This window comes from Homo sapiens, chromosome 5 (genome assembly GCF_000001405.40).
Source record: "Homo sapiens chromosome 5, GRCh38.p14 Primary Assembly".
In the NCBI taxonomy this organism is placed as follows: Eukaryota; Metazoa; Chordata; class Mammalia; order Primates; family Hominidae; genus Homo; species Homo sapiens.
Genome location: NC_000005.10, coordinates 177,780,288 through 177,797,091, shown reverse-complemented (window position 1 = coordinate 177,797,091; position 16,804 = coordinate 177,780,288). Strand labels below are relative to the sequence as shown.

Sequence of the window (16,804 nt, the reverse complement as noted above, 5' to 3'; positions counted from 1 at the left end):
CAGGTCCAAGGGGTGGACACAGGCCCCCGGTGAACACAAGTTCCCAGATGTATACCCAGCCTGATGTGCACCTGCAGACCAGAGTTCACGTAGGGTCTGATTTCTCCCTGGGGCCTGGGTGTTTTCCTGGGACCTATAACCTGCCTGGGGTCTGGTGTTTACCTAGGGATGGGTATCCACCCTGGGTCTGATGTCCGCCTGGGGCCTGGTATCCATCTGGGGCCTGGGTGTCACCCTGGGGCCTTCTGTTGATCTAGGGCCCGATTTCCATCCTGAGACTGGGTGTCCACCTGGAGTCTGTGTCCCCATGTGACTTGGTGTCCAACTGGGACATTGGACACCGGTAAACACCAGGCCCCGTGTGGATTACTGTGGTACACCTGATGTACAGCTTGAATCCAGTGTCCACTTGGTCCTGATGGCTACCTTAGGCCTGTTGTTCACCTGGGGCCAGGCGTTGTGCTGGGCCCTAATGTCCACTAGGAGCCTGGTGTTTACCAGGGGGTCTCGACTCCCACCTGGGGCCTGGGTGTTTCCATGGGATCTGATACCCTTCTGTGGCTTTGGTTTCCATCTGTGGCCTGATGTTCACCTGGCATCTAGGTACCCATGTGAGGCCTGGTGTCACCCTGGGACCTGACGTTCACCTGGAGCCTGGTGTCAACTTGGGGCATGGGTGTTCACCTGGGGCCTAGTAGTTTACATGTGCCTTCATGTTTACTGAGTTCTTAAGTGTCAACTTGTGTCTTGATTTCTACCATGAGCCTGGTGTCCACCTGGAGCCTGGGTGTCACCCTAGGGCCTGAAGTCCTGGGGACTAGCTGTCCAATTGGAGCCTAGGTATCCACCTGGGTCTGAATTTCGCCTGGGGTCTGATGTCCATTTGGAGTGAAGTTTTCACTTGAGTCCTCATGTAAACCTGGGGCCTGGGTGTCAACCTTGAGCCTGATGTTCACCTGTGGTCCTGTGTCCACATTGGGACTGATTATTCACCTGGTGCCACGTGTGCACGTGGGGCCTGAGGGTTCACCTGGCTCATGCCCACCTGGGACCTTATGAGTTCCTGGGGCCTAGGTATACTCCCTAGGCCAGGTGCCCACCTGGGTTCTCATATCCACGTTGGGCTTTGTGTTCACTTGAGGCGTGGTATTCTTCTGGGGGTGGGTGTTCACCTGCGACCTCATACCTACTTGGGGCTTGGGTATCCTCCTGGGGCCTGATATTCCCCTATGACCTGGGGTGCAACTGGGGCCTGGGTGTCAGCCTGGCAGCTGAGTTCAGTGTCCACTTGGGGCCTGGTATTTAGCTGAGGCCTGACACCCACCTGAGGCCTGGGTGTTTAGGTGTGGTCTGTTATCTTTCTGTTGCCTGGGTTTTTATCAGGAGCCTGATGTTCACCAGGCCACCTAGGTGTCCACCTGGACCAAATGTCTCTCTGGGCCCTGATGTTCACTTGTTGTCTGGTATTTACCAAGAGCTTGGGCATCCACCTGTTGACTGATGTTCAGCTGGGGCATAGATATTCACCTGGGGCCCGAGGGTACACCTGGTGCCTGACGTCTGCCCGGGTCCTAGTAATCCACATGGGCCTGGTGTTTACCAGAAGCCTAATGTTCACCCTGGGCCTCATGTTTACCTGGAGCCTTGGTGTCAACCTGGGGCCAGATATCGACTGGGGGCCTAGTATCCACCTGGAGATGGGATGTCCAGCTGGGTTCTGATGTCCACCTAGGATTGTCCTCATGTGTGGTGGATGAAATTTAGGGCCTGGTGGTGAAATTTAAAAGAGAGCCTTAAAAGCTGTCGAGCCAAGTGAAGCAAGCAGAGGAAGGTCATTCCATTCCGTCAATGAGAAGAATGTGAGCCCAGTGATGGAGCCATGAACAGCTCAGCATGTGTTGGGATCTGCAAGAGGGAGGTAAGTTGTGGGTGCACTGGAATACCAGACCAGGGACGGGAGGATGCTTTTCAAGCTGCCTTTCGCTTTTTCCTCGAATGTCATAGGAAGTCAGACTTATTCTTTGTAGGTCAGAGTTGAATGTTACCTAATATCAACGTTTGCAGGAAATGAAGTGGAAACACTTTTCTTAGATAGAAGAGATAGCACTTGCAAAAATTTAGAAATGTGAGGGAACATAAATTGGAAATAATTTTGTTTTTAAAACAAGTAGTTAATAATACTTTACTTTCTATTTATTTATTTATTTATTTATTTATTTTTTGGAGACAGTCTTGCTCTGTCGCCCATGCTGGAATGCAGTGTTGTGATCTCGGTTCACTGCAACCCCTACCTCCCAGGTTCAAGCGATTCTCTGCCTCAGCCTCCTGGGTAGCTGGGATTACAGGCACGCACCACCGAGCCTGGCTAATTTTTTTGTATTTTTAGTAGAGACACGGGGTCTTGCCACGCTGCCCAGGCTGGTCTCAAATTCCAGAGCACAATGTGATCCTCCCACCTTGGCCTCCCAAAGTGCTGGGATTACAGCCAGGAGTCACTGCACCCAGCCAGGATGTTTATTTTTTAACCTTCTATTTGTCTGATGTCTGGGCTCTATGGGGAGTGGCAAGGGAAAGTGGTATACATTTAATGACACAGAGGAGACTTTGACCTAAATGGTGAGACCCTGAAATGTGAATGCTTTGGAGGAGAATATAGATCAGAAGTTTATGATCAAAGTAATTATTTACAAATAGATATTTTCCATTAGTTTATTTTTAATTTACAGTTCTATATAACATTGGAAGTAATATTCTTTATGTACAACTACAATAGATTTTATCCTTTTTCTAACACTTCTGTTCTAGTTACAGAACCATGAATGACCTCTTTGATAACTGGAATGAAAATGTTGTAGCTGCTTTTAAGATTTTTTAAAGATAATTCTTTACGACAGCCTTGGGGGGGTGCATGTTGGTGTGAGAGAGGAGTAAGTTAAGGGGATGATATGAATATCAAAGAGAAACTAATGAATAAAGAAGTCCAACCTTAAGATTAGTTTCAGCAGAAGTAATTTTCCACCAAAATTTCAGATTACCTTTTCACTTATATAGGAGTGTGATTAATTAGGGAAGACATTTGTAACACTTGCACTTTTAAAACCATATTTATTATGCAGCATTGCAAAGCAGTCTTTCCTTCCACAGCCCCCAGTCCCAGAACAAAAAAAGTATGAGGGAAAGTACCTCAGAAAACCCAGTCAGAATATGCTATATTTGAAAATAGCCATTTTGTGGAGACCTTAGCAGAAATTTGGCCTTGAAGTCATCTGGGGGCATTTTAAAATTCTTACCTGTGTTAGATTCACTAGTTCAGATGTTGATACCATACTACCATAGCCATGCATGTAATGGTGGTAAGCTTTAAGGTTGAATATAGTATATTTACCGGAATTTACCTAGATTTGGCTGATCTTTGAGGAAATGTTTAGATGACGCCAGTTATGATTTCACCCTGTGCTAAAGAACATGTATATGTTTTTGCCATAGGTGTGTTTTCTTTACATTATTTATACAAATAATTTTCTATAATATCTGGGAGCAAACTGGGGAATTTGGCAGTCCAATTGGCAGGTCCCCTCAGATACCCACGGGCCGACGGCATTGGTGCCAAGTGACCAGGTTCACAGTGCAGCTTGTGGCTCCAGTCCAACTGGCAGGTGGCTCTTCCTCCACGTCCCAGCTGCCATTTTCATAAAACAATCCGTGGTGTCCCGCTCGGAGACTGGGTTCCTGGCTCTCCCACTCGCATTGCTGTAGCAAGAGATCCATAGAACATATTTTAAAATGTTACTTGCTATTTGCTTAAATGTAGACTTTTCTAGGCTATTTCTTTTCCTTACTCCATTACTGAACAACTCCCTTACTTCCTCCTCCCCCCCAGTATCACTCCCAAGTAAGGGATTGGTTTTAGTCCCAGAACTGAAGTACCCTGAGCTCCATTCGAAGCAGTACTCTACAGAGACCCACATTTTCTTTATATTTTGCATTTAACAAGTTTAGTGAGTAGTTATTTTTGCTGAATTTATGGACCCTTTGTTTTAGATTTGCAAGACAAGAAAAACTTTTACAGACTTCGTACTTAATGTTTTATTATAATGCAGACCTGTACAGTGTTGTATGCTGAAGATACTGGAATGCCTGTGTGCTCTTCTACCGGAGAGTGTCTGATCAGAACTCTTCAGTATGACCAAAGAAACTCAAGTTAGCATTGTCCTGCAGGAAGCTGAGGATCTCTCTCTCTCTAAGTTTTTCTTCTGTATAATTTCTTCTGTGTGCTTTGAGTAGATATAGTGTGATCTTTAAAAAGATCAGGCAAGGCTAGGTGCCGTGGCTCATGCCTGTAATCCCAGAACTTTAGGAGGCCAAGGTGGGCAGATCATCAGGTCAGGAGGTCGAGATTGTCCTGGCCAACATGGTGAAACCCCGTCTCTACTAAAAAATACAAAAAAATTAGCCAGGCATGGTGGGGCACGCCTGTAGTCCCAGCTACTCGAGAGGCTGAGGCAGTGGAACTGGAGGTTGCAGTGAGCCAAAATTGTGCCACTGCACTCCAGCCTGGCAACAAAGCGAGACTCTGTCTCAAAAAACAAAACAAAACAAAAAACAAGGCAGTTCCTCAGAGAGTGGATCCAGGGTCAGAACGAAGAACTTTGTACATGGACACAACAAAATCTTTATAATATCTGACCTACAGAATTCCACTATTGCAATGGATCAGTGACTTCTGTGTTTTTTTCCCATCTTCTGTTTTCCAAATGAAAAATTTTACTGGGACTGGGAGGGTTCCAACATAGCCAAATAGGAACAGCTCCAGTCTACAGCTACTAGCATGAGAGAAGCAGAAGACGGGTGATTTCTGCATTTCCAGCTGAGGTACCGGGTTCATCTCACTGGGGCTTGTCGGACAGTGGATGCAGGACAGTGGGTGCAGTGCACTGAGCGTGAGCTGAAGCAGGGCGACGCAACACCTCGCCTGGGAAGCGGGAGGGGTCAGGGAATTCCCTTCCCTAGCCAAGCAAAGCTGTGACAGATGGCACCTGGAAAATCAGGTCACTCCCACCCTAATACTGCACTGTTCCAACACCCTTAGCAAACGGCACACCAGGAGATCATATCCCGCGCTTGGCTCAGAGGGTCCTACACCCACGGAGACTCACTCATTGCTAGCACAGCAGTCTGAGATCAAACTGCAAGGCGGCAGCGAGGCTGGGCGAGGGGCGCCTGCCATTGCTGAGGCTTGAGCAGGTAAACAAAGCATCTGGGAAGCACGAACTGGGTGGAGCCCACCGCAGCTCAAGGAGGCCTGCCTGCCTCTGTAGACTCCACCTCTGCGGGCAGGACATAGCCAAACAAAAGGCAGCAGAAACCTTTGCAGACTTAAATGTCCCTGTCTGACAGCTTTGAAGACAGCAGTGGTTCTCCCAGCACGCAGTTTGAGATCTGAGAATGGACAGACTGCCTCCTCAAGTGGGTTCCTGACCCCCGAGTAGCCTAACTGGGAGGCACCCCCAAGTAGGGGCAGACTGACACCTCACACAGCCAGGTACCCCTCTGAGACGAAACTTCCAGAGGAACAATCAAACAGCAACATTTGCTGTTCAGCAATATTTGCTGTTCTGCAGCCTCCGCTGCTGATAACCAGGCAAACGGTCTGGAGTGGACCTCCAGCAAACTCCAACAGACTTGCGGCTGAGGGTCCTGACTGTTAGAAGGAAAACTAAAAAACAGAAAGGACATCCACACCCAAACCCCATCTGTACGACACCATCATCAAAGACCAAAGGTAGATAAAACCACAAAGATGGGGGAAAAACAGCAGAAAAACTGAAATTCTAAAAATCAGAGCACCTCTCCTCCTCCAAAGGAATGCAGCTCCTCACCAGCAATGGAACAAAGCTGGATGGAGGATGACTATGACGAGTTGAGAGAAGAAGGCTTCAGATGATCAAACTTCTCCAAGCTAAAGGAGGAAGTGCAAACCCATCACAAAGAAGTTAAAAACCTTGAACGAAGATTCAGACGAATGGCTAACTAGAATAACCAATGTAGAGAAGGCCTTAAATGACCTGATGGAGCTGAAAACCATGGCATGAGAACTACGTGACAAATGCAAAAGCTTCAGTAGCCGATTTGATCAACTGGGAGAAAGGGTATCACTGATGGAAGATCAAATGAATGAAATGAAGCGAGAAGAGAAGTTTAGAGAAAAAAGAATAAAAAGAAACAAACAAAGCCTCCAAGAAATATGGGACTATGTGAAAACACCAAATCTACATGTGATTGGTGTACCTGAAAGTGACGGGGAGAATGGAACCAAGTTGGAAAACACTCTGCAGGATATTATCCAGGAGAACTTCCCCAGTCTAGCAAGGCAGGCCAACATTCAAATTCAGGAAATACAGAGAATGCCACAAAGATACTCCTTGAGAAGAGCAACTCCAAGACACATAATTGTCAGATTCACCAAAGCTGAAATGAAGGAAAAAATGTTAAGGGCAGCCAGAGAGAAAGGTCAGGTTACTCACAAAGGGAAGCCCATCAGACTAACAGCTGGTCTCTCGGCAGAAACTCTACAAGCCAGAAGAGAGTGGGGGCCAATATTCAGCATTCTTAAAGAAAAGAATTTTCAACCCAGAATTTCATATCCAGCCAAACTAAGCTTCATAAGTGAAGGAGAAATAAAATCCTTTACAGACAAGCAAATGCTGAGAGATTTTGTCACCACCAGGCCTGCCCTACAAGAGCTCCTAAAGGAAGCACTAAACATGGAAAGGAACAACCGGTACCAGCCACTGCAAAACCATGCCAAATTGTAAAGACCATCAAGGCTAGGAAGAAACTGCGTCAACTAGCGAGCAAAATAACCAGCTAACATCATAATGACAGGATCAAATTCACACATAACAATATTAACCTTAAATGTAAATGGGCTAAATGCTCCAATTAAAAGACACAGACTGGCAAATTGGATAAAGAGTCAAGACCCATCAGTGTGCTATATTCAGGAAACCCATCTCACGTGCAGAGACACACACAGGCTCAGAATAAAGGGATGGAGGAAGATCTACCAAGCAAATGGAAAACAAAAAAAGGCAGGGGTTGCAATCCTAATCTCTGATAAAACAGACTTTAAACCAACAAAGATCAAAATAGACAAAGAAGGCCATTACATAATAGTAAAGGGATCAATTCAACAAGAACAGCTAACTATCCTAAATATATATGCACCCAATACAGGAGCCCCCAGATTCATAAAGCAAGTCCTTAGAGACCTACAAAGAGACTTAGACTCCCACACAATAATAATGGGAGACTGTAACACCCCACTGTCAACATTAGACAGATGCACGAGACAGAAAGTTAACAAGGATATCCAGGAATTGAACTCAGCTCTGCACCAAGCAGACCTAATAGACATCTACAGAACTCTCCACCCCAAATCAACACAATATACGTTCTTCTCAGCACCACATCGCACTTATTCCAAAATTGACCACATAGTTGGAAGTAAAGCACTCCTCAGCAAATGTAAAAGAACAGAAGTTATAACAAACTGTCTCTCAGACCACAGTGCAATCAAACTAGAACTCAGGATTAAGAAACTCACTCAAAACCACTCAACTACATGGAAACTGAACAACCTGCTCCTGAATGACTACTGGCTACATAACAAAATGAAGGCAGAAATAAAGATCTTCTTTGAAACCAACGAGAACAAAGACACAACATACCAGAATCTCTGGGACACATTTAAAGCAGTGTGTTAGAGGGAAATTTATAGCACTAAATGCCCACAAGAGAAAGCAGGAAAGATCTAAAATTAACACCCTAACATCACAATTAAAAGAACTACAGAAGCAAGAGGAAACACATTCAAAAGCTAGCAGAAGGCGAGAAATAACTAAGATCAGAGCAGAACTGAAGGAAACAGAGACACAAAAAGCCCTTCAAAAAATCAATGAATCCAGGAGCTGGTTTTTTGAAAAGATCAACAAAATTGATAGACTGCTAGCAAGACTAACAAGAAAAGAGAGAAGAATCAAACAGAGGCAATAAAAAATGATAAAGGGGAGATCACCACCGATCCCACAGAAATACAAACTACCATCAGAGAATACTATAAACACCGCTACACAAATAAACTAGAAAATCTAGAAATGGATAAAGTCCTTGACACATACAATCTCACAAGACTAAACCAGGAGGAAGTTGAATATCTGAACAGACCAACAGGCTCTGAAATTGAGGCAATAATTAATAGCTTACCAACCAAAAAAAGTCCAGGACCAGATGGATTCACAGCCGAATTCTACCAGAGGTACAAGGAGGAGCTGGTACCATTCCTTCTGAAACTATTCCAATCAATAGAAAAAGAGAGAATCCTCCCTAATTCATTTTATGAGGCCAGCATCATCCTGATACCAAAGCCTGGCAGAGACACAACAAAAAAAGAGACTTTTAGACCCATATCCCTGATGAACATCGATGCAAAAATCCTCAATAAAATACTGGCAAACCGAATCCAGCAGCACATCAAAAAGCTTATCCAACACGATCAAGTGGGCTTCATCCCTGGGATGCAAGGCTGTTTCAACATACGCAAATCAATAAACGTAATCCAGCATATAAACAGAACCAAAGACAAAAACCCCATGATTATCTCAATAGATGCAGAAAAGGCCTTTGGCAAAATTCAACAGCCCTTCATGCTAAAAACTCTCAATAAATTAGTTATTGATGGGATGTATCTCAAAATAATAAGAGCTATGTATGACAAACCCACAGCCAATATCATACTGAATGGGCAAAAACTGGAAGCATTCCCTTTGAAAACTGGCACAAGACAGGGATGCCCTCTCTCACCACTCCTCTTCAACATAGTGTTGGAAGTTCTGGCCAGGGCAATCAGGCAGAAGGAAATAAAGCGTATTCAATTAGGAAAAGAGGAAGTCAAATTGTCCCTGTTTGCAAATGACATGATTGTATATCTAGAAAACCCCATCGTCTCAGCCCAAAATCTCCTTAAGCTGATAAGTAACTCCAGCAAAGTCTCAGGATTCAAAATCAATGTACAAAAATCACAAGCATTCTTATACACCAATAACAGACAAACAGAGAGCCAAATCATGAGTGAACTCCCATTCACAGTTGCTTCAAAGGGAATAAAATACCTAGGAATCCAACTTCCAAGGGATGTGAAGGATCTCCTCAAGGAGAACTACAAACCACTGCTCAATGAAATAAAAGAGGATATAAACAAATGGAAGAACATTCCATGCTCATGGGTAGAAAGAATATTGTGAAAATGGCCATACTGCCCAAGGTAATTTATAGATTCAATGCCATCCCCATCAAGCTACCAATGACTTTCTTCACTGAATTGGAAAAAACTACTTTAAAGTTCATATGGAACCAAAAAAGAGCCCGCATTGCCAAGTCAATCCTAAGCCAAAAGAACAAAGCTGGAGGCATCACGCTTCCTGACTTCAAACTATACTACAAGGCTACAGTAACCAAAACAGCATGGTACTGGTTCCAAAACAGAGATATAGACCAATGGAACAGAACAGAGCCCTCAGAAATAATGCCACATGTCTACAACTATCTGATCTTTGACAAACCTGACAAAAACAAGAAATGGGGAAAGGATTCTCTATATAATATATGGTGCTGGGAAAACTGGCTAGCCATATGTAGAAAGCTGAAACTGGATCCCTTCCTTACACCTTTTACAAAAATTAATTCAAGATGCATTAAAGACTTAAATGTTAGACCTAAAACCATAAAAACCCTAGAAGAAAACCTAGGCAATACCATTCAGGACATAGGCATGGGCAAGGGCTTCATGTCTAAAACACCAAAAGCAATGGCAACAAAAGCCAAAATTGACAAATGGGATCTAATTGAACTAAAGAGCTCCTTCTGCACAGCAAAAAAAACTACCGTCAGAGTGAAGAGGCAACCTACAGAATGGGAGAAAATTTTTGCAATCTACTCACCTGACTAAAGGGCTGATACCCAGAATCTACAAAGAACTCAAACAAATTTACAAGAAAAAAATCAAACAACCTCATCAAAAGTAGGCGAAGGATATGAACAGACACTTCTCAAAAGAAGACATTTATGCAGCCAACAGACACATGAAAAAATGGTCATCATCACTGGCCATCAGAGAAATGCAAATCAAAACCACGATGAGATACCATCTTACACCAGTTAGAATGGTGATCATTAAAAAGTCAGGAAACGACAGGTGCTGGAGAGGATGTGGAGAAATAGGAACACTTACACTGTTGGTGGGACTGTAAACTAGTTCAACCATTGTGGAAGAGAGAGTGGCGATTCCTCAGGGATCTAGAACTAGAAATACCATTTGACCCAGCCATTCCATTACTGAGTATATACCCAGAGGATTATAAGTCATGTTGCTATAAAGACATGCACACGTATGTTTATTGTGGCACTATTCACAATAGCAAAGACTTGGAACCAACCCAAATGTCCAACAATGATAGACTGGATTAAGAAAATGTGGCACATATACACCATGGAATACTATGCAGCCATAAAAAATGATGAGTTCATGTCCTTTGTAGGGACATGGATGAAGCTGGAAACCATCATTCTCAACAAACTCTCGGAAGGACAAAAAACCAAACACTGCATGTTCTCACTCATAGGTGGGAATTGAACAATGAGAACACATGCACACAGGAAGGGGAGCATCGCAGACCAGGGCCTGTTGTGGGGTGGGGGGAGGGATAGCATTAGGAGATATACCTAATGTAAATGATGAGTTAATGGGTGCAGCACACCAACATGGCACATGTATACATATGTAACAAACCTGCACGTTGTGCACATGTACCCTAGAACTTAAAGTATAATAAAAAATATATATATATAAATTTTATTGGGACTATTTTGATTCTACACCACTATTCTTTATTGGGTGTAACCCAGCAGGTCCACGAATAATAATAATTATTATTATTACCTTTTTTTTTGAGATGGAGTGTCACTCTTGTCACCTGGGCTAGAGTGCAGATGCGCAAAAGAGTGAGACTCTGTCTCAAAATAAATAAATAAAATAAAAACAGGAAAATACATTTGTTGACCTCCTGGGTTGTGCCCAATAAAGAATAGTGGAGTTTAATAGCGGTTCACTGCAACCTCCACCTCCCAGCTTAAAGCGATTCTTCTCCCTCAGTCTCCCAAGTAGCTGGGATTACGGCACCCACCACCATACTCAGCTAATTTTTGTATTTTTAGTAGAGACAGGGTTTCACCATGTTGGCCAGGCTGGTCTCAAACTCCTGACTTCAGGTGATCCGCCCACATTGTCCTCCCAAAGTGCTAGATTACAGGCGTGAACCACCACGTCCGGCCTAACAAATGATTTTTCATAGGTCACTGGACATCAAGGAGCCACTTGTGAACCAGGTGGAATGCAGGTGGGATGCATAGCACATGGCCCACAGGACCTGCACTGTGGGTTGGATACAGTAACGGAAGGGGCCTTTGGTCTTTCTTTTTTTTTTTTTTTTTTTGAGAGAGAGTCTTGCTCTGTTCCCCAGGCTGGAGTGCAGTGGCGTGATCTCGGCTCACTGCAAACTGCGCCTCCCGGGTTCACGCCATTCTCCTGCCTCAGCCTCCAGAGTAGCTGCTGGGACTACAGGCGCCCACCACCACGCCTGGCTAATTTTTTGTATTTTTAGTTGAGACGGGGTTTCACCGTGTTAGCCAGGATGGTTTCGATCTCCTGACCTCGTGATCCACCCGCCTCGGCCTCCCAAAGTGCTGGGATTACAGGCGTGAGCCACCGCGCCTGGCAAGGGACTTTGGTCTTTCTTGCTTGGGGCTGGGATGAGTGTGTACTTGTGAGAAGAAGGAGGCACAAGGCAGATTGGGTGGCCACAGCTGTAACCTGGAGCCACAGAGCAGGCTTCTGTTACACACTATTCTTCTTTTCTTCACTTTAACAGAACCATCCCTTGAGGTTTAGCTGGGGGCACCTGGCTGCCCAGCTACAGACTAGATTTTCCAGACTAATTTATATCAATTTTCTTTATTCCTTTAAAAGTTGTTTATTTATTGCACTTACATACTAAGATACCATTCTCAAAGGACCACGAAAGCAGAAATGGTTAATATATGAAGCTGTCTATAGGCATGATAGAATAAAAAGTTTAAAAATTATTTGGGTCAGGCTTAAATAACTTTAACAGGTTAAAAAAAGTGTTTGACAATATTCAACAAATAATTCTTCACCTAATTTCTTATTGAAGCAATCACCTTAATATTCATTGGCCTTGATAAATGTGAACACTGGTCATATTTATGTAAATAATGGTCATGTGGCTTTCTTGGCATATCTAAATTCATGTTAGATCTGGCTTAACCTGTGCTTATGTATGTATATGTTACAGTTATGTACATTAAATGTGTGTGTAAGAGTTGGAATTATTTGAAAGATAGCAAAATTTTAACTAGAAAAAATAAGTTAATATCTAATAATAGTTGACTTGTTGATTAAAATAAGTAGTTATTATGAAAGAGAAAAAAGGTGATTTCAAATTGATTCAGAAGAACTGGCCTAGCAACTAAGATTGTATGCTTTCCTTTTTTTTTAAAAAAAAAAAGAACGGATATAATGTTATGTGACAATTAAATACAGAAATTACAAAACTAGTTAAATTGATGTTGCCATTAAAGCAACATTAAATAGTTTTGGGGGAGAAGAAAGAAGCCGAGAAGATGGTATCTGTGCAGTTAAGATGGTCATGTCATTTGATACATGTAAACAGAAAGCAGCCTGAGGCCCACACCTGCACCATGCTGAAAGAGCTGACCAGCGTTATATGTTCAGTCCTAGATGAAATGCTGCATTTGTTTTTTAAACACTGGTATGCATTGTTTTAAAAATGTATAAAATAACAGTGAAAAGTTAAAGAATCGTAAGAATGTAGCTAAAGGTAAAAAAAATTTGCAAAGCCATAATTTTTATGATGAAACAATATATTTTTTATCTTTTACGTATAATGTTTTAATGCTTTTTTAGCCCAATGAAATGTGGAAGTGTTTTGTGATTTTTATCTTACTATAGTGATTGTTTTATAAACAAAGAAAAAATTAATTCAGGATTGCAGATATGGTAAACTATTAAAATAGTTTGGGTATTAAAATATGAAATAATTGGGTATTAATTCAAAATCCAAGAGTTGCCATTGAACAAACCTGTAGGCATAGGTAAGTGCTGAGGTGAAAGTGCCAACCAAAGCCGTTAGATTGAACATTTATGCCTGGAGGGAATCAGTAGAGGAACTGGCTGTGGACCTTCACCTCTGCATCCCCTTTGCTTTCTGCTGTAGCTGGGTATCACAAAAACAACAACAAAAGCCACTTATTTCTTAAAGACAGAGAAAGGATAGTTCCTTCCATTTAGGCATTCCTAAATTGCCTCCCCGGTGGCCCCTGCGCTCTTGGAGGAGGTCAAGGCAGAGCAGACCCTCAGGTGGGGGAGCGATGCACTTGACCCTGAGGACATCAGGTACCAGGCCCACTAGCCCCCGCAGGCGCGGAGCTGCGGCTGCAGCCACCAGCCTAGACGTGGCGCGCCCGCAGCAAGTGGCTGGACACCGCAGACCAGGCCCGCGTCCCCAGCAGCGCGGATCCCGGGGCCAGCCGCCCAGGCAGCAAAGTCAGGCGGTCGGCTTCGCCAGCAGCCGATGAGTCTCATCCTGTGGATTGCCCAGCGCCAGGGATCAGGATCCGGAGAGGTGTCCAGGAGGAGCAGACCCTCAGACCAGGTAGGCTGTGCACTCAGTGACCCTGACGCCATCCAAGGGAAGCTCCGCCATCCCGCGCCAGTGCCAGAGCTGCAACTGCAAACTGCGCGTCCTGGCACGAGCAGCGGTGGGGGCGGGTGGGGGAAGGAGCGAGTGACTCTCCAGGCGTCTTCCGCTACCTGACACCAGCCAGGCAGCCCCCAGGGCCAGAGCGTCAGCGCCGAAGCCAGGCTCATCCGGGAAGCCACTCCGGTGGCCGCGGGGTGCCCATGCCAGCACCAGATCTCTCTTCGGAAGGAGGAGCGGGGCGGGCTACACGGCCAGGCGGGCCCTCCCCTTAAGGCGGGGTGGGCCGCGCGCCTGCGATTTTCCGTCCGTGGTCCTGGGGCAGCCCTGGCCAGCCCAGGAGAACCCGCGAGCCCAGCGGCGCCTGCACCTGCGGCTTCCGGGAGCCGGGCGGCTTTGCGAGGCTCACTAGGTCTGAGAGGTCGGAGGCCGCCAGTGTCGCTGCTGAAGGGTGGACCAGGCGGGATCGCGGATTCTGGGCTAGATCGCAGACTTGGTATCGCGGATTGGGATTTGGATCGGGGATTTTGAGTTGGATCACGGATTGGGGGTTGGATCACGGATTGGGGTTTGGATCGCGGATTGGGGGTTGGATAGGGGATTTGGAGTTGGATTGGGGATTTGGGGCTGGGTGTGGGGCGAGGGGGAGTGAAAAGGTGACACGGAGCTGCCGCGGCTCAGGAGCCAGTGGTTGGGGGTCTGAGAAGAACTCACCACCTTGAAGAAGTTCTTCGGCTTTGGGAGCCGCAGGGGCCGGCGGTCCGGGGCTCCCTAGGCCACGTCTACAGGGGTTCGGGGTACCGAATCGGAAGATCCACAGGGCGCTGTCAAGGGCGAAGCCGCGGAAGTGGAGCGCTGCCTGGCGCGCAGGAGCAGAGACCTGGAAGCCGGGGACAGGCAGCACAGGCAGTGGGGTGGGGGCTCAGCCCAGGGTGGGAGGGGGTCCCCAGGCCCGGCTTCCCCGCAGCCCCTGGGATGGGGCCTCAGAGGGCACCCTCAGAGGGGTGGTGCCAAACGGAGCCTCAGCTGCTCTGCATCCCCCATAATTCCCCAGCTGGAGCGCTTGGTGGAGAATGTGAGTGATTTAACTCACCAAGCTAAGCATACACAGTGTTATTTTTAACCTACACGTTTAAAACATGGTGTTATATACATTATAGGAGGTGCCTAATGAGAGAACTCATTCCTCTATCAAAAAATACCGTGAGTCGGCCGGGCGCGGTGGCTCAGGCCTGTAATCCCAGCACTTTGGGAGGCCGAGGCGGGCGGATCACCAGGTCAAGAGATCGAGACCATCCTGGCTAACACGGTGAAACCCCGTCTCTACTAAAAATACAAAAAAAAAAAAAAAAATTAGCCGGGCGTGGTGGCGGGCGCCTGTAGTCCCAGCTACTCGGGAGGCTGAGGCAGGAGAATGGCGTGAACCCGGGAGGCGCAGCTTGCAGTGAGCCGAGATGGCGCCACTGCACTCCAGCCTGGGCGACAGAGCGAGACTCCGTCTCCAAAAAAGAAAAACAAACAAACAAACAAAAAACCGTGAGTCATTTTCAGTAGCGAAAAGCTCTCACCTAAAACTGTCCGTTTTACATCCGTATCCACCTGTGTAGATCGGTTCTTTACTGAAGGTTCTTAGAAGGAAACTTGGAAGTGGGAGGTGGGTTCTGTGTTCCTGAATGGGAAGACACATTTTTCTCAAAATGTGAGCTCTTTCTGTGATTATCAATTTTACATAAGCCGAATGAAAAAATCAAGGTTTTAACATTTTTGCATGACACCTACTGTCTTTTACTATTGTAATGACATTTGTAAAAATTTTAGGGCTGGGCGCGGTGGCTCAGGCCTGTAATCCCAGCACTTTGGGAGGCCGAGGTGGGCGGATCACGAGGTCAGGAGATTGAGATTGAGACCATCCTGGCAAACACGGTGAAACCCTGTCTGTACTAAAAATACAAAAAAAAAAAAAAAAAAAAAAAATAGCCGGGCGTGGTGGTGGGCGCCCATAGTCCCAGCTACTCCGGAGGCTGAGGCAGGAGAATGCTGTGAACCCGGGAGGGGGAGCTTGCAGTGAGCCGCCATCCAGAAGTGCTGGGATTACAGGTGTGAGCCACCGCGCCCGGCCTGAAAAGTGCATCTTCATTTTACAGGGAATTCTTTCAAATCAAATAATCAAAAACTGTAAAAGGGGGCAAAGTACTTTTTTGCAGATCTACAAGTTTCTTATGTAAATAGGAAAAAAAGCCTTTGCTTTTCTGGTATAAGAATTTAAATTAAAAGAGGAATGAAACTGTTTTCTATCCACAATGTGTGAGGATGTTTTTTATACTGCTGCCTGAAGTTTAAGTTGCTGATTACTTTTTAAATAGATAATTTGGTGGTAAGTACTATATTTTAAAAATGCGTATGCCCGTTACCCTTCAATTCCATTATACTAAAATACCCTTGGGAAATAGAGATACATGCACTTTGTTTTTCACAGCACTTATTTTAAAAAGAACCCATAGAATGGATCTTATAAGTAAATTTCAGTTGCATCCATAGGATGCAATAATATGTGACCATCAAAGGTGACAATAGATATAGAAGTACGTTGATGTGCGAAGATGTATTTTGTTTTAGCCAGCGAGGAAAAAAGAATCAGTTTGATTACACATTTACCAAACATTAAGAATTTAATATGGTAACTTTTATTTCAGTATTAAAATAGCAATTTTATTTATTACTTTTTTATATACAGAATTCGACACCAAATTTTGGAACTTAAAAAGAAGATTCTTAAAACTTACAATCCAGGTAAGACTTCTGATAGTGAATTTCTCATTTCTCATGGTGGTCCTACTCTTGGTTTAAAAAAATTAAGATGTAAGATTAAGGTAGTTTTGAAGGAAAAGAAAAGTTTAAAAAGATGTGTAAATTGCATGTATATATACATATATACATACATGTAAATTAGT

General features: G+C 44.8%; 1 protein-coding gene across 9 annotated transcripts in view; it reads left to right on the top strand.

The window, feature by feature from the left end:
• The window catches only part of FAM153A (family with sequence similarity 153 member A), an 89,179-nt gene continuing 86,041 nt past the window's right edge, over positions 13,667 to 16,804 (top strand). For 5 of the 9 annotated variants that reach the window (NR_146227.2, XM_017009369.2, XM_017009365.2 and 2 more), the window contains exons 1-2: positions 14,172 to 14,349; positions 16,588 to 16,643. The gene's annotated coding sequence lies outside the window, so the exon portion shown is untranslated. Of the gene's footprint in view, positions 13,809 to 14,171; positions 14,350 to 16,587; positions 16,644 to 16,804 lie in introns of those variants that run through there. The other 4 variants (NR_146226.2, XM_017009364.2, NM_173663.5 and 1 more) reach the window with 2 other exon arrangements.